Below are 17,619 nucleotides of genomic sequence, written 5' to 3' on the forward strand. Positions count from 1 at the left end.
AATGTGCATATAAACGCATCACGTACAATTTTTATTTCTCTATTACACCTCAGTAAAGCTGAAATAATTAACAGGATTGAAAGGATAAACCCACAGTTCTATAGTCACAGTTGGACACTTCAATACCTCATTTTAATTAATGGATAGAAAAACCAGACAGAAGCTTCATGAGAAATACAAGAGTTAAACAACGGTATAAGCCACTGAGAGCTAATACGCATATACAGGACAGTCCATCCAACAACAGCAGAATATACATTCCTTTCAAGTGTATATGGAAGTTCTCTAGGATGGGCCATATCTTCGTCCACAAAATATGTCCTAATCATTTTTAAAAGTTTGAAATCATACAAAATATAATTTACAACCACAATGGAAGAAACAACAGATAAATAAGTGAAAACTGGAAAATTCACGAAAATGTGGAAATTAAACAATACAGTCTTCAACTACCAGTGAGTGAAAAAAATAAATCACAAGCAAAATTATAAAATATCTTGAGATAAATTAAAATAAAAACAAAACATACCAAAACTTATTGAATGCAGTGAAAGTAGAGTTCAAAGGAAAATGTATGGATATAAACAACTACATTTAAGAAAAATCTGAAATCAACATCCTCACTCTATACCTAAAGGCAGTGGAAGAAGACAAAATAAGACTAAATCCAAAGCTAGCAGTATGAAAGAAATAATAGAGAGCATAATTAGAGCATAAATCAATAAAATAGAAGTTTGGAGAGCAGTAGAATGAATAAACATAGATTATTTGAAAGATCAAGCCTTTCACTATATTGACTGAGCAAAAGATGGAAGACTAATTATTAAAATAATAAATGAAAGCAGAGCCATTACTACCAACTTTACAGAAATACAAAAGGATTACAGGAGTATACTGTGAACAACTGTCTAACAACAAATTAGCTGCCCTGGATGAAATGGACGAATCACTAGAAAGACACAAACTACCAAAGTGGCTCAAGAAGAAAGAGAAAATCTGAATAGACCTATAACCTAGGAGATTGAATTAGTAATCGAAAGTGATTAACAAAGAAACATTTATGACCAAATAGCTGCATTAACTGGTGAGTCAACCTAACATTTAAAGAAGAATTAATACCATTTCTTCTCAAACTCTTCTGACATAATATATGAAGAAGGAATACTTGCTAATTCATTTTTTGATAACAGCATTATCCTTATACCAAAGCCAAAGAGAGCACAAAAAGAGAACTACAGCACAATATCCCTTATGAATATATAAGCAAAAATCTCAGCAAAATACTAGCAATACTAGCAAAATACTAGCAGCAATACTGTATAATCAAAGGATTGTAAACTATCACCCTGTGAGATTTATCCCCAAAATGCAAGGGTGGCTCAACATATAAAAAATCAATCAGTGTAATATACTCTAACAGTAAAATGAATAAGCACGTGATTATTTCAATTGATGCAGAGAAAACATTGATGAAATACAACACCCTTCTATAATAAAAATACTCAATAAACTAGGCATAGAAGGGATTTTCTGCAACATGACAATAGGATGTACAAAAACCCAACAGTTAATATCATGATCAATGATGAAACACTGAAAGCTGTTTTCCTAACATCTAGAACAAGACAAGCATGGTGCATTTGCCACTTGTGTTCAATGTACCACTGGCAATTTTAGCCAGAGCAATTAGGCAAGACAAAGAAATAAAAGGCATCTAAATTAGAAATAAAAAACAGAAGTAAAATTATATCTACACATGATCTTATGTGTATAAAGCTCCAAATAAAACACAAAACCGATTATAACTAATAAAAGAGGCAGGATGCAAAACAAACATAGGCAAATGAGCTATATTTCTATATAGTTGTAAAGAACTATGAAAATATTTTAAAAATTCCATTTATAATAGCATCAAAGAATAAGTTATTCAGGCATAAATCTAACCATGGTGGTATACACAAAACTTTGCTGAAAAAAACGAAAGAGAGTGGAAATAACCGGAAAGACATTCTGTGTTCACGGGTTGTAAGACAATACTGTTAAGATGACAATACCATCTAAAGTAATCTACAGATTCAATGCAATACCATCAAAATCCCAAAGGCATTTCTGCAGAAAGAAAGAAACTCATTCTACAATTCATACAAAAATTCAAAGGATCTGACAGACAAAACAGTCTTGAAAAAGAATATTAGAAAACTCACATTTTTCAGTTTCACAGCCTACTACAAATCTACAGTAATCAAGAGAGTGTGGTACTGGCATAAGACTAATAGACTTTTAGACCAATACAATAGAACAGATTTAAGATCCTACAAATTAGCGCTCACATATATGGTCAATGACTGTTCAACAAGCTGTCCAAGTCTAGTCAAGGGAGGAAAGAACAGTCTCTTCAACAGCTGGATGTCAGTGCACAAGAGAGAAGTTAGACCCCTACCTTGCAGTATACACGAAAATTAATTCTAAATTAATAAAAGACTTACATGTAAGGACTAAAGTATGTAACTCTTAGAAGAAAACACAAGGTAAACCTTTATGACCTTTGAGTTTTAAGTGTATTTTGAAATATGACAGAAAAGCACAGATAACAAAAGAAAATACACGTAAATTAGATTTAATCAAAATAAAAAACCTTTATGCATCAAAGGATACTATCAAGGGAGTGAAAAGACAACCCATAGTATGTGAGAAAATATGTATCTGATAAAATCAAAGTGCGTATCTGATAAAAGCTTAATATCCCACAACTCAACATCAGAATTTCTAACATCCCAATTAAAAAATAGGCAAAGGACTTGAATAGACATTTCTCCGAAGAAGATACACAAATGTGTAAGACGGATAAGAAAAGATGCTAAACACTGTTATTCATTAATAAAATGCAAGACAAAACCCAAATGAGATACCACTTTGCATCCACTAGTAAGGCTTTCATAACAACGACACAGAAAATCAATGTTGCTAAGGAGGTGGAGAAATTGGAGCCCTCATGAACTGGCTGCTAGGAATAGAAAATGATGCACTTGCCGTGGAAAACAATTTGGTGGTTCCTCACAGAAACACACAGAGAAACAAGAGCTGCTGGCTTCCGGGTTCTCCTGGGCTGGCGCGGTACGTCCCGGAATCGCAGGCGCGCATCCCTTCCCGCCTGAGGGCCTGCCTGGCCGTGACTCCCACCCCTCTTCTCCTCCGAAGAGACGTCGGGGCCGCTCCAGGGGCCGTCCGCAGCCACCGGGGATGGGGCTGAGGGTCGGTTCCTGCCCCGGTGCAGCCGCCGCCGAGCAGACCGCCTGGCTTGGCCGCAGCCACGGCGACATCCAGGCCCGGGTCTGCGAGGCTGGGCGCGCCAGCCAGCTTGGGAGTTGCCTGGCGCCTGTAGCTGGGCGCCCAGGTGGTGAGCATGGCCTGGGCGGCCTCTGGATCGCAAGTGCTCCTGGCCTGAGAGCCCGCCAGACCCTGCCCCCGCCCGGCTCCTCCTATGCCAGAGCTCGACACCTCTAGCCAAGGGCCCTCTGCAGCCACGGGGGATAGGGCTGAGGGCCGGTTCCCGCCCCCGTGCAGCTGCTGCAGGGCAGACCGCCTGGCTTGGCCGCAGCCACACGGACATCTGGCCCTCGTTCCGAGATGTGGGAAGTGAGGGCGGACTCGGGAGTTGCCTGGAGGTTGCTGCCTGCACACAGAAGGCGGCTGCAGCTTGGGTGCCCAGGCGGGCTGGAGGTGCATGGCCTGGTCGGCCTCGGGATCGCCAGCGCGCCCAGCCTGAGGGCCCCCAGGCTGTGCCTCCCGCCCAGTCCTCCACCTGAGGGAGATCGGGGCCGTTGGTATGGGCCCTCAGCAGTCACCCCGTGTGGGGTTGAGCGGCGGCTTCTCAGTTCTCGCTCCTGTGCAGCCGCCGCCGCCGGTCAGAATGCCTGGCTTGGCCGCAGCCACTGGGACACCTGGCCCTAGTTCTGCGATGCTGACAGCGCGAGCGAGCTCGGGGGTTGCCAGGCAGCTGCTGCCTGCACACAGAGGGCGACTGCAGCTTGGGCGCCCAGTCGGCGGAGCATGGTCTGGGTGGCTGCTGGAATGCTTGCGCTCGAGGCCTGAGGGACCCACTGTTGGTGCCACCTGCCCTGCTCTGCGCCTCTCCACGCCTGCGCCGGCGCCCCCTCCGCGCCTGCGCCCCCTCCGCGCCTGCACCCCCTCCGCGCCTGCGCCTCTCTGCCTTTGCGAAGGGCGCTCTGCCTTTGCTAGGGCGGAGCTGCCTTCTCCTCGGCACAGACCCGGAGAGCATCGCGAGGGCGGAGCTGAGTTCTCCTCTGCACAGACTTCGGAGATACAGCGAAGGCGGAGCAGTGTTCGCCTCAGCACAGACCCGGGCGGGCGGGCCGTGGGTACCGCGAGGGCGGAGCTGCGTTCTGCTCAGCACACACCCAGGGGACACCGCGAAGGCAGAGCAGCGTTCTCCTCAGCACAGACCTTGGGGGCACTGCCTCGCTTTGGGACAACTCGGGGCCGCATCAACGGTGAATAAAATCCTTCCTGTTTGCAGCCCTGAATAATCAGGGTCAGAGACCAGTTAGAAGGGTTCAGTGTGGAAAACGGGAAACCAAAAGCCCCTCTGAATCCTGCCCACCGAGGTTCTCCCCAGCCAAGGCGAGGCGGCCGCAGTGCGAGATCCACACCGCAGCCTCGGAAGACAAATGCGGCATTCCTAATGCAGACATGACACCCAAAGTATGACACCCCCATTGCTCATGTAACAAGCACCTGTAATGCTAATGCGCTGCCTCAATACAAAAATATTAATATAAGATCCGCAATCCCCTCGCTGCCGTGCAGTCCAAAGACAGCCATCATAATAATCAACATTGACATAGTCAATACAAACTTAGTAACGAACCTAGGGTTAAGGTTGGTGTTAGGGTTAGGGGTTAGGGGTTAAGTTTAGGGTTAGAGGTTGGAGATAGGGATTGGGGTCAGAGTTAGGGGTTAGGAGTCAACGTTTAGAGTTAGGGTTTAAGAGATGTTAGGGGTTAGGGATTAGGGGTTAGGGTTGGGTTAGGGTGAGGGTTGGGGTTAGGGATAGTGGTTAGGGTTTGTGTCAGGGGTTAGGGGTCAGGGTCAGTGGTTAGGGGTCAGGGTCAGGGGTCCCACTCTGCGATTTGTCTATTTACTCTGCTGACTGTTCCCTTTGCCATGCAAAAGCTCTTTAGTTTAATTAAGTCCCAGCTATTTATCTTTGTTTTTATTGCATTTGCATTTGGGTTCTTGGTCATGAAATCCTTGCCTATGCCAATGTCTAGAAGGGTTTATCCAGTGTTATCTTCTAGAATTTTTACAGTTCAGGAATTAGGTTTAAATTCTTAATCCATCTTGAGTAGATTTTTGTATAAGGTGAGAGATGAGAATCCAGTTTTATTCCCCTACATGTGGCTCGCCAATTATCCCAACTTCATGTGTTGAAAAGGGTGTCCTTTCCCCACTTTATGTTTTTGTTTGCTTTGTCAAAGATCAGTTGGCTGTAAGTATTTGGGTTAATTTCTGAGTTCTCTCTTCTGTTCCATTGGTCTATGTGCCTATTTTTAAACCAGTACCATGCTGTTCTGGTAACTATGGCCTTATTGTACAGTTTGAAATCAAGTAGTGTGATGCCTCCAGGCTTGTTCATTTTGCTTAGCCTTGGTTTGGCTACATGGCACTCTTTTGGTTCCATATTAATTTTAGAATTGTTTTTGTAATTCTGTGAGGGATGATGGTGGTATTCAGATGGGGATTGCATTGAATTCGTAGATTGCCTTTAACAGAATGGTAATTTTCACAATATTGGTTCTACCCATCCATGAGCATGGGGATGTGTTTCCATTTGTTTGTGTCATCTATGATTTCTTTTCTTTCTTGTTTTTTTTTTTTTCAGAGGTAGTTTCGCTCTTGTCGCTGAGGTGGGAGTGCAATGGTGTGATCTCGGCTCACTACAACTTCTGCCTCCCGGGTTCAAGTGATTCTCCTGCCTCGGTTTCCCGAGTAGCTGGGATTATAGGCATGCGCCAACGTGCTTGGCTCCATCTATGATTCCTTTCAGCAGTGTTTTGTAATTTTCATTGTAGAGGTCTTTTGATTACTTTGCTAGGTATATTCCTAAGTTTTGTTTGTTTTTTTTTGTTTGTTTTTTGCAGCTATTGTAAAAGGGGTTGAGTTCTTGATGTGATTCTCAGCTTGGTAGCTGTTGATGTATAGAAGAGCTACTGATTTGTGTACATTAATCTCGTATCTGGAAACTTTGCTGAATTCTTTTATCAGTTCTAGGAGCTTTCTAGAGGAGTCCGTAGGGTTTTCAAGGCGAAAGATCATATCGTCAGCAACCAGTAACAGTTTGACTTCCTCTTCACCGATTTGGATTTCCTCTATTTCCTTCTTTTGTCTGATTGCTCTGGCTAGGACCTCCAGTACTATGTTGAAAAGGAGTGGTGAGAGTAGGCTCTTCGTCTTGTTCCAGTTCTCAAAGGGAATGCTTTCACCTTTTCCCCATTCAGTATTATGTTGGCTGTGGGTCTGTCATAGATGGCTTTTATTACATTAAGGTATGTCCCTTGTATGCCTATTTTGCTGAGAGCTTTAATCATAAAGCAATGCTAGATTTTGTCAAATGCTTTTTCTGCATCTGTTGATAAAATCATGTGAGTTTTTTTTTAAATTCTGTTTATTTGGTGTATCACATTTATTGACTTGCATATGTTAAACCATTCCTGTGTCACTGGTATGAAACCCACTTGATCATGGTGGATTATCTTTTTGATATGTTGTTGGATTCAGTTAGATAGTATTTTGTTAAGGATTTTGGCATCTGTGTTCATCATGGATATTGGTCTGTAGTTTTCTTTTTTGGTTATGTCCTTTCATGGTTTTGGTATTAGGGTGATGCTGGCTTCATAGAAAGAAGGGAGTGTTTCTTCTTTCTCTGTCTTGTGGAATAGTGTGAAAGGATTGGTATCATTTCTCCTTTGAATAAAAGAAAATATTCTTTGAATGTCTGGTAGAATTCTGCTGTGAATCTGTCTGGTCCTCGGCTTTTTTTGTTGGTAATTTTAAAATTACCATTTCAATCTTGCTGCTTGTTTTATTGGTCTGCTTGGGGTATCTACTTCTTCCTGATTTAAGCTAGGAGGGTTGTATTTTTCCAGGAATTTATGCAACTCTTCTGGGTTTTCTAGTTTTTGTGCCAAAAGGTGTTCATAGTACCCTTGAATAATCTTTAATATTTCAGTGGTGTCAGTTGTAATATCCCCTGTTTCATTTCTTAGTGAGGTTATTTGGATTTCCTCTCTTCTTTTCTTGGTTAATCTTATAATGGTCTATCGATTTTGTTTATCTTTTCAAATAACCAACTTTTTGTTTTATTCATGTTTTGTATTTGTTGTTGTTGTTGTTGCTGTGTCAATTTCATTTAGTTCTGCTCTGATCTTGGTTATTTCCTTTGTTTGCTGGGATTGGGTTTGGCTTGTTCCTGCTTCTCCAGTTCTCTGAGATGTGAACTTAGATTGTCTGTTTGTGCTCTTTCATACTTTTTGACATAGGTGTTTAGGGCTACAAACTTTCCTCTTAGCACTGCCTTTGCTGTATCCCAGAGGTCTTGATTGGTTGTGTCATCCAGTTCAAAGAAATTTTTTCCATTTCCATCTTGATTTTGTTTTTCACCCAGTGCTCATTCAGGAGCAGGTTATTTAATTTCCATGTATTTGCATGGTTTTGAAGATTCCTTTTGGAGTTGATTTTCAGTTTTATTCCACTGTGATCTGAGACAGTGCGTGGTACAATTTCAATTTTCTTAAATTTATTGAGACTCATTTTATGGCCTATCATATGGTCTATCTTGGAGAAAATTCCATGTGCTGTTGCATGGAATGTGTATTCTGTGGTTGTTGGATGAAATGTTCTTATATATCTGTTAAGTCCATTTGTTCCAAAGTATAGTTTAAATCCAGTGTTTCTTTGTTGACTTTCTGTCTTGATGACCTGTCTAGTGCTGTCAGTGGAGTAATGAAGTCCCCCACTATTATTGTGTTGCTGTCTATCTTATTTCTTATGTTTACTAGTGATTGTTTTATAAATTTGGGAGCTCCAGTGTTAGGTTCATGTATGTTTAGGATTGTCATGTTTTTCTGTTGAATGAGACCTTTACCATTATATACTGTCTGTCTTTGTCTCTTTTAGCTACTGTTGCTTTAAAGTTTGTTTTGTCTCATATGAGAATAGCTACCGCTGCTCGCTTTTGGTGTCCATTTGCATGAAATGCCTTTTCCTACCACTTTCCTTAAGTTTATGTAGGTCGTTATGTGTTAGGTGAGTCTCCTGAAGGCAGCAGATAGTTAGATGGTGAGTTATTATCCATTCTGTGGTTCTGTATCTTGTAAGTGGAGCATTGAAGCCATTTACAACCAACATTAGTATTAAAAAGTGAGGTACCATTGCTTTCATCATGCTCTCTGTTGCCTCTGTACTTTGTTTTTGTTTTTTGTTTTTGCTTTTTAACTTGTATTTTTGTTTTATAGGTCTTGTGTGATTTATGCTTTAATGAAGTTCTGTTTTGATGTGTTTCCAGGGTTTCATGATTTTAGAGCTCCTTTTAGCAGTTCTTACAGTGCTGGTTTGGTAATGGCAAATTCTGTCAGCATTTGTTTGTCTGAAAATGACTGTATCTTTCTTTCATATATGATGTTTAGTTTTGCTGGATACAGAATTCTTGGTTGATAATTGTTTTGTTTGAGGAGGCTGAAGAAAGGGCCCCAATCCCATCTAGCTTTTAAGGTTTCTGCTGCAAAATCTGCTGTTAGTTTGATAGGTTTTCCTTTATAGGTTACCTAGTGCTTCTGTCTTACAGCTCTTAAGATTCTTTCTTTTGTCTTAACTTTGGATAACCCAATGACAATGTGCCTAGGCTAAGATCTTTTTGTGATGAATTTCCCAGGTGTTATTTGTGCTTCTTGTATTTGGATGTCTAGGTCTCTCACAAGGCCACGGAAGTTTTCCTTGACTATTCCCCCAAATATGTTTTCCTAGCCTTTAGAATTCACTTCTTCCTCAGGTACACCAATTAGTCTTAGGTTTCATTGTCTTAGGCCCCACCACTGGGGCCGTTACACGTGACATGGGATGTGGGCCATCAGGCAAAGGGCGCGGAGATGCGGCGCTGCCAGGGGAGCCAAGGAGGAAAGAGAGCGCTTTCCAAATTGTCTTCCAGGGTTTCAATGTGCATTTTATTAACTCAGAATCTGTCGGGAATAATACTAGGGAGCTACCTTTCCCTGGAGATGGGTCTTGTCAGTGGAGTGAGATAGGCTGGGGGGAGGAAGAGGAATGGGAGGCTCAGTTTATAAATATTAAGATCAGCAAGGGTGTGCTGCTGGCAGGAGCAGAGCGAGCCTGGAGATTTGGGTGGCTGCCGTTGGTAAGTGGTTGCAATCCAGAGAGTGGGATTGAGTTCCTCCCTTGTCATGTTAGCATCCCGTTTCCTGGGCGCGGGTCTAATGCCCTGCAGGTGGTCATTTCACTCATGGTGGCTTTGTCTCTCTTCTGCCATCTCCAGACTCAGCTTTGCACTCCAGGGCTGCGTACCACCAGCCACTGTCATGTTAACCCCTTCCCAGGCCAATGTGTCCTTGGCCTGGAGCCCAATCTGCTGGACAGCCTGGGACCGTCCATTTTCGGGGTGGTGGGCAACCTGGTGGCCATCGTGGTGCTGTGCAAGTCGCGCAAGGAGCAGAAGGAGACCACCTTCTATACAGTTATGCGGCTGGCTGCCACCGACCTGTTGTTCACTTTGCTGGTGAGCCAGGTGACCATCGCCATGTACATGAAGGGCGGGTAACCTGGGGGCCAGCTGCTGTGTGAGTACAGCATCTTCAGCCTGTTCTTCTTCAGTCAGTCCGGCCTCAGCATCGTCTGTGCCATGATATCTATACAGGTAATTTGTGTTAGACATTCTTAGAAGAGTTTCAAAAGTTTTATGTTTTTATCTGGGTTATAAACAGAGTCCTCAAATGCATACAAAGGAAATCATGCCATGATTGAATTTCAGCAGGAATAAGTTTATTTTACCTATTCAAAATTAAAATACTTTTGTGTTTGAAAATCTGTTTTAAAGATATGTTTTTGAAAAAAGTTTAAGTAAATATTTAATCATGTCCCCTTTTCTATCCCAAGAAATAATTTCATATATAGTTTATTTAAATTTTTTAACAAAAATGTAGCATAATTTTTTTAAATTGTATATTTTATTTAACCCAATATATATCCAAAATATTGGGTCAATATGTAATCAATATAAAAATTATTAGAGATAGTTTGCATTCTTTTTTCATATGAAATCTTTGAAATCCATTGTGTATTTTACATTTTAGGATGTCTCAACTCAAATGTGAAATTTTCATGGAGAATATTTGAACTGTATTTAGATTAATACAAATTGCAGTTAAAACGTTTAATATAGATTTACCAGGGGGCGTGCAGCCCGCTTGCCAATCAGATCGCTGCTGAGCGGTCCCGCAGCCAACCCCCGAAGAGCAGCCTGCTGGCTTCCCCAGCGCCCAGGAGTTGGGGATGTCCTACAAACCTACCACCCCTGCCCCCAGCAGCACCCCCGGCTTCAGCACCCCTGGGCCAGGCACTCCGGTCCCTACAGGAAGCGTCCCGTCGCCGTCGGGCTCAGGGCCGGGAGCCACTGCCCCTTGCAGACCGCTGTTTAAAGACTTTGGACCACCTACGGTCGGTTGTGTGCAGGCCATGAAACCACCTGGTGCCCAGGGCTCCCAGAGCACCTACACGGAACTGCTGTTGGTCACAGGGGAGATGGGCAAAGGGATCCGGCCCACCTATGCTGGCAGCAAGAGCGCCGCGGAGCGCCTGAAGAGAGGTATCATCCATCCCTAGTCAGAGTGCCTGGTAGAGACAGAGCGGAACGGCCACACTTAACAGGAAGCTCCTAGGCCTCTGTGTCTGGACTTCAGAGCACCTGCTTCTCCCTGGCCTTCATCCCTAGTTGCACTAACCATCCTGGGCTTCCTGTCCTGTGTCCCTTGATGGGTGCCCTCCAGGAACCAAGGGGCGGTTCTCACTGCAGGTGGCAGCACTAAGGACCCCCCTCCCCACCCCACCCCGCCAACGCAACAAGAGTTAGCAGCGAGGTCCCCGTGAGTCCCACCCATGACCTGCAGACAGTGTTGCCCACTGGAACTTTCTGTGGCGCCCACCACTCAGCCCTTCCCAGCACTTGTCCAGAGCCTCTTTCTCCCTCAGCACAGCTCAGGCCTCAGGCCTGACACTTCCCTGCCTTGTGTCTTTTGCTAAATATGACCTTTCTATATTAATAAAAGATGCTTTGGAGTTGTGCTCTCTAAAAAAAAGTTTAATATAAAGGAGAAATAAAAGGAAATTTAGCAAAGAAATATGTAGATGAATATTTAAATACTCAGAGGTGACATTACTACCAGACATAATGAGATTATCAGATGTTTCATTTACTTATGATTAATATGTTTGTATTTATTTTTTATTCATTTTATTTTATTTATGTATTTATTTTTATTATACTTTAAGTTCTAGGGTACATGTGCACAACGTGCAGGTTTGTTACATCTGTATACATGTGCTGTGTTGGTTTGCTGCACCCATTAACTTGTCATTTACATTAGGTATTTCTCCTAATGCTCTCCCTCCCCCAGCCCCCCACCCCATGACAGGCCCCAGTGTGTGATGTTCCCCTGCCTGTGTCCAAGTATTCTCATTGTTTAATTTCCACCTATGAGTGAGAATATGCAGTGTTTGGTTTTCTGACCTTGCGATAGTTTAAACAAACTAGGAAGTTCAGAAGTCACTTTACAAGAGAAATAAAGAAAAATAAAGTATTAATGACATTGGTAACAGAATAAAAATTAGAGTTAGACAAAGTATTAGCAAGCAAGCTTATATATTTATAAGAGATGGGAAAATATTAGAAAGGAATAAATCATGTCTTGTCAACATGAAGAAAAAGTGTATTTTTTTGTTAACTTATTATTGTGTTTCCTTGTATAATTTTCACTTGGTTTTGTTGGTTTTACTACTTGCTTCATTCTTTCAAAAACTACATCTTCATAGACCATTTCAGCTTTTGCTATGTAGGCAGAATTATAAAACCCAATTTCAAAATTTCAACTGAACGTTGTCAGCATTTTTCTTTGGGCTTTTTATTGAAAAAAAAAAACCTAAGTAATTGTGTGTGTGTGTATTTTAGTATTACCATGAATGTAATAACAATAAAGTCAAACAAAAACAAATGGATATGCAATATGTTGGACTAGCATCTCAAATATGAAAAAGGCATTGCCAACAGTGATATAATTTTTTTTCATAACGGTAAGCTTTTTAAAGTATAATCTTATTTTAACCTAAAATCTTACTATCAGAAAATGCAGTGTACATTAAAATGTTCTGAAATGCTTTATTCACATTTATTAAATGGTTGTACTCACTCAGATATCTACAAATTGGTTTTTCACTTATGTAATTATCTTATAGAATGTTCAAAAGTCATGCAGAATGTGAGATAATTTTCTATTGAATATGATTGTTTTATCATTGCAAGACATCAAACATCCCTGTTTCCTGCCAAATGAATGTACAATAGCAATAAATGTAAAGATGTGTTTTTTGGAAAAGACACATTTTTGAGTTATAAAACAAGGATTTTAAAACTTGAATTGTTACAGTGAGTATGTCTTAATATAGGCTACAGTCACTTTAGATAAAAAATTACCTCACATCTATTTTCAATATTACTTAAAGATGTTCATTTAGTGGCAAATATTTTTTTTTTGCCTAGAGGCAGATATTTTGCCACATGGCTATTTATGAAACTGTATTTAAATGCATGTACACATATAAAAGCTGCCACTGTGGCTGTAAACTATTACAAGTTATCAAGATTAAAAAATAAACAAAAAATATTTCAGTTTTTCTATGAAATGTCTTTACTCGAGTCCAAATTTAGAGGTTTAAAATGCTTCAAATTAATAAAACCAAGTGTTTCACATATTTCAGTTGGAGTGGCGTTTGTCCTAGTTTTATTAGTGAAGCAGCAGACTGCATTTTTTCACTCTCATACACCTTCAAAAGATGGACAGAAAAATTTGATAAAACTTCTAGGGCATTATCTGATGAAACACATTAAACACTAAAGGAGATATACAACTTCATTGCTTGTAAAAGACATATAAGAAGGAAACCTACATACATATATCTATCAGTTTTGTATTTTCAGGAAATATTTGCCTTAAAGTGAGCTTCATAACAGTATGTGTTCTCCAACAAAGCCAAGGAAAGTAAGTTTGACACAAGGATCTGGAAGTCTACCTGTGTGGCATAATTACATTGAATACATTCCACAAATAAGGCAGAAATGTATAGTAGAGTGTCCATTATAGAGGAACACTCAATAAATATTTAATAAAGTGCTTAAATTTCTCATTATTGACCTGAACAATGAGTATACTTATTACGTTTGCCAGTGACAGATATTAAAAGTGGAGATTGAAGGAAAAATGATGTATAGAAGAGAGATTTTACCTTCAAAGTGACATAAATAATTTGAAGAAATTGAGGGAAGTGACTTGCTTAAATATCCATACAGTAAATATTTATTGTGTGCTTACTGTGTGCACTGGGAATTAAGCAGTGAAAAAAATACAAAGGAAAACATCAACAACGTCTCTTCTATCATGGAGCTTACATTCTACCAGTAAGAGAAAGACCATCAACAAATACATATGTAGTATAACATGACTATGAATGGTATGGAGAAAAATAAGAACAGTAAGGGGGATGTGGGGGCCTGGGGATTTATTTTATATAAGGATAGACAACAAAGGCCTCATTACTAAGTAATTTTATGCAATCCTTTTTTCAATTTATTTATTTGTTGATTCCATAATACTTATTTATGTATTTATGTATTTTTAATTTATTTTTTATTTTTAGAATCAGGGTCTCACTCTGTCACCCAGGCTGAAGTGCAGGGGTGTGATCATAGTTCACTGTAACCTTACTCCTGGGCTCAATTGATCCTCCCATCTCAGCCTCCCAAGTGTCTTGGTCTACAGGCACCTACCACCATGCTTGGCTAATTAAAAAAAAAAAAATTAGAGATGGGGTTGTGCTATGTTGCCCAGGCAGGTGTCAAAATCTTGGCCTCAAGCAATGCTCCTGCTTTGGCCTGTCTAAGCATTGAGATTATAGGCATGGGCCACCGTGCCTGGCCCTGTAATATGTATTTAGCATATACACTGTGATAGGCACAAGAAAGTCTCTGATAGTTCAGTAAAAAACTGCAATGATGTTTGCAACAGGTAATTAAGTTTGGCCACGATTCTTTTGAGTGTCATAACACTGTCCTAAGAAAAAGTCTATATTTCCACTTTACTGGGTGTGTGAAACTCAAACTCAAGGTTAAAAAGCTCTGATTTTTTGTTGAAATCATAATCCAACTAAAAGCCAGAAATGTGGAGCCATTTTTTTTATTTTAAGTGAATCATAAGCAGTCTTGTATTTAAGACAGATAAAATTATTGTACAGTATTATGTTTTCTGTACTTAAAATGAGAGAAAACCATGAGGGTTGTTAATGTTTGAAAAAAGAAGGCATCTATGAGGAAGCTTTATATTGGTAGAAAGTGTGAAAGGAAAATAAAATCTCAGGACCCCAAACTCACTATGACAAAGGAAAATTAAGCTTGGAACGTGAGTCATGCAAAAACTGCCATCCTTTTGTTCCCAAACAGCTGTACTTTCATATGCTTACTTTAACTTACGTAAAATGTAGATTTCCTGAGAGAGAGGATGAATGCACAACTGACTCCTTCCTCCTGTTTTTGCCACATGTAACATATAGATTCACTGAGCACTAATCAGAGCCTCACAAGAATGTAGCCATTAGCTTTCTTGCCTTCCCTCTCTCCTTCTTTTCCTCCCCTGTTTTAATTTCCTGCCTGCTTCCTCTTTCTCCTTTAAATATTGAAGTTCCCAAAACCCTCTTTAGAAAAAGCACAGGACATCACCTACTTGTGACTTGTGATCCTTTTTCCCAGGTGTATCCTCCACCTTGCAAAGCAAAATCTCTAAATCACTTGAGATCTGCCTCATTCACTTATTGGTTTACAAAGGGAAGTTGGAAAAAACCACTCTTCTTGCAATGCACAAATGACTGTTTTATAGTAACTTTATTGCCTATGCAATCAATCATATTGATATAGTATCAGATGATAAATGTAGATGTAAAAAATCTATCTGTAGAAGTGACTTTTCTTATTTCCCCTCTCTCCTTTTCTCCCCTACTGTGCTTTGAATTCTTTATTTTCATATTCACTTTGCTGGCTTCGGATCATTTCCAAACCTACTCTAATGGTAGCATGATAGCATCCAGTGAGTTTGTTGTTGTTGCTGTTGTGATAGGACCATAGACTTTCACATCTAGTTGTGATATCACATGCTCACATTGTCTAACTACTTCATTTTACAGTTGAAGAAATTGAGACACAAGGTAAGGTGACCTGCCCAGTTCCAATCTAGTTATATAATAAAAGAATGGCTAATATTTAATAAATAATATGAGTCAGGCACTGGGAAAATAAGGCACTTTTTTTTTTTTTGAGACGGAGTCTCCTTCTGTCGCACAGGCTGGAGTACAGTGGCGCGATCTCGACTCACTGCAAGCTCTGCCTCCCGTGTTCATGCCATTCTCCTGCCTCAGCCTCCCCAGTAGCTGGGACTACAGGCGCCCACCACCACGCCCGGCTAATTTTTTGCATTTTTAGTAGAGATGGGTTTTCACCTTGTTAGCCAGGATGGTCTCGATCACCTAACTTCGTGATCCTTCCGCCTCGGCCTCCCAAAGTGCTGGGATTATAGGCGTGAGCCATCGCGCCCAGCTAATTTTTTGCATTTTTAATAGAGATGGGGTTTCGCCGTGTTAGCCAGGATGGTCTCGATCTCCTGAACTCATGATCCGCCTGCCTCGGCCTCCCAAACTACTGGGATTATAGGCTTGAGCCACCGCGCCTGGCAGTAAGGCACTATTTTTATCTCTATTTAAAAATGTAGAAACTGAGCCAAAGAGAGGATATGGTATTTGCCTGGGATCATAGGATTAGTAAATGTCTGAGTTGGTATTTAAAGGCAGGCTTCCAGATTTCATAGCCCATCCACAATCGCATGCCACTCAAGTCTTCTGGCTCCGACTTCTCTGCAATTTACACAGCCCTACACTGCCTTCCTCCTAAACTCTCCAACCTCCTACTTTTTCAGCTCTAAACTTTGATTCCCTAAACACAGCAGTCAGGGACAGGTGGAAGATTGTTGTGAAAAGAACAGGCAGCAGCATTACGGTTTAGCCTGTTTTTATATCTATTTTATTCTACAGATTAGTGTACTTTTCTCAATTATGCATACTTTTCCATTCTGCCAAAAATTTATTTTAAGGCTGTTAAAGCTGTAGTCAATTTTCTCACTTTGATCTTCCAAAGGAACCTGCTGTATCTTTTTCATTCTGTGCAAAATAGGCATTTTAGGATCCACTCAATGCTAAAGTCACTGAGTAGCTACAGACTTGCTATTTGTTTCTCCATTGTTATATTTTCATAGTTTTAGAATCTGAGCAGCATTTAATTTGTCTATGCTTCATATTTTCCTTTAGAGAAAGAACACAGTGATACTTGCTCATAGTGTTAGAGGAATAATCCCAAAGAGAGAAATTATTCTTCGAATATCCACCATGACTGAATACTTAGTAATACTGAAACCTACTTATAAAACAAAACAGAAAACCTCCAAAAAACCAAATAAACAACAAAAAAACTTAAAACCAAAAAAGTACTGGAAGTCTCAGAAGTATTTAGCAGTTTTTCTTGCTCCTTCAAATGAAAAGATGCTTTATCATATCCTCTATGGAGAGAATTCTGACAGTATTTATCAAAGACCTTACATTTATTCACCTTTTGCCCTAAAAATTTCATAACTTAAAAATACATACAACAATTTATAATATAGCATTTTTTGTAAAGGGAAATAATCAGAAAGAGCCTAAGTGTTCAACAATAGGGCACTTGTTGAATTATGATACAATCACACAATAAGGTCTTCATAGAGCTCATTAAAATGATGTTATTGATATTTATTTATTAATAGGAGAAATCATTTAGAATTTTTGGTTAAGACCTTTAACTAAGCACAAAGTCTATGAAATAATGTACACAACATTCCATATTTTCATAAGGGGAATGACTTTTAAAACTACCCTGCAATCATCTCATTTTACACAAATGTCTAGGCAGGTTTGTTACCCGGGTATATTGTGCCATGCTGAGGTTTGGGGTATGACTGATCTCATCATGCAGATACGAAGCTTAGTACCCTGTAGTTTTTCAACCCTGGCTGCCCTCCCTACTGCCTCTACTAGTCTCCATTGTCTATTATAGTCATCTTTTCTTTTTTTGAAAAAAATCTGTTTTTCTGATTTTTTTATTAGGTAAAAAATGGAAAAACAAAATATAATTTTCATTCAATACATACTTCATCTTTATGCGTTATTTTTCGAGAAAGTGAAGTCCAT

At 40.2% G+C, this 17,619-nt stretch overlaps 1 long non-coding RNA gene and 3 pseudogenes across 3 annotated transcripts, besides 5 other annotated features; 3 read left to right on the plus strand and 1 right to left on the minus strand.

Annotated features, from left to right (window-relative positions):
• Positions 1–11: 11 nt before the first annotated feature.
• On the minus strand, positions 12–4,110 carry LOC100132249 (uncharacterized). The gene has a single exon (NR_135128.1). It is a non-coding gene; the product is annotated as an uncharacterized LOC100132249 (long non-coding RNA).
• Positions 875–1,075: a silencer, noted in NCBI's record as "peak7249 fragment used in MPRA reporter construct". NCBI's record gives its function as "represses an SCP1 promoter by STARR-seq MPRAs in K562 erythroleukemia cells {active_cell/tissue: K562}" and the evidence as "EXISTENCE:reporter gene assay evidence [ECO:0000049][PMID:32103011]".
• Positions 3,869–4,163: a silencer, noted in NCBI's record as "tiled region #15656; K562 Repressive non-DNase unmatched - State 22:ReprW". NCBI's record gives its function as "represses a minimal TATA promoter and a strong SV40 promoter by Sharpr-MPRA in K562 cells {active_cell/tissue: K562}" and the evidence as "EXISTENCE:reporter gene assay evidence [ECO:0000049][PMID:27701403]".
• Positions 4,019–4,078: a silencer, noted in NCBI's record as "silent region_19924". NCBI's record gives its function as "represses an Ori minimal core promoter by ATAC-STARR-seq in GM12878 lymphoblastoid cells {active_cell/tissue: GM12878}" and the evidence as "EXISTENCE:reporter gene assay evidence [ECO:0000049][PMID:35858748]".
• PTGER4P2-CDK2AP2P2 (PTGER4P2-CDK2AP2P2 readthrough, transcribed pseudogene) lies at positions 4,209–12,970 on the plus strand (annotated as a pseudogene). Of its 2 annotated transcripts, NR_135010.1 has the most exons (3): positions 6,409–6,566; positions 9,569–9,946; positions 10,383–12,970. The product of NR_135010.1 is annotated as a PTGER4P2-CDK2AP2P2 readthrough, transcribed pseudogene, transcript variant 2 (transcript). The 2 variants fall into 2 exon arrangements; NR_024496.1 differs by lacking the exon at positions 6,409–6,566 and adding an exon at positions 4,209–4,511 and having other exon boundaries at positions 9,569–12,970.
• Positions 4,269–4,478: a silencer, noted in NCBI's record as "silent region_19925". NCBI's record gives its function as "represses an Ori minimal core promoter by ATAC-STARR-seq in GM12878 lymphoblastoid cells {active_cell/tissue: GM12878}" and the evidence as "EXISTENCE:reporter gene assay evidence [ECO:0000049][PMID:35858748]".
• PTGER4P2 (prostaglandin E receptor 4 pseudogene 2) lies at positions 9,553–9,935 on the plus strand (annotated as a pseudogene).
• Positions 10,262–10,795: an enhancer, noted in NCBI's record as "H3K27ac-H3K4me1 hESC enhancer chr9:66500322-66500855 (GRCh37/hg19 assembly coordinates)". NCBI's record gives its function as "activates a minimal SCP1, AML or CMV promoter by ChIP-STARR-seq in naive H9 embryonic stem cells {active_cell/tissue: H9 hESC(naive)}" and the evidence as "EXISTENCE:reporter gene assay evidence [ECO:0000049][PMID:30033119]".
• On the plus strand, positions 10,502–11,375 carry CDK2AP2P2 (cyclin dependent kinase 2 associated protein 2 pseudogene 2; annotated as a pseudogene).
• Positions 12,971–17,619: the final 4,649 nt, after the last annotated feature.

Source organism: Homo sapiens, chromosome 9 (genome assembly GCF_000001405.40).
Source record: "Homo sapiens chromosome 9, GRCh38.p14 Primary Assembly".
Taxonomy (NCBI): Eukaryota; Metazoa; Chordata; class Mammalia; order Primates; family Hominidae; genus Homo; species Homo sapiens.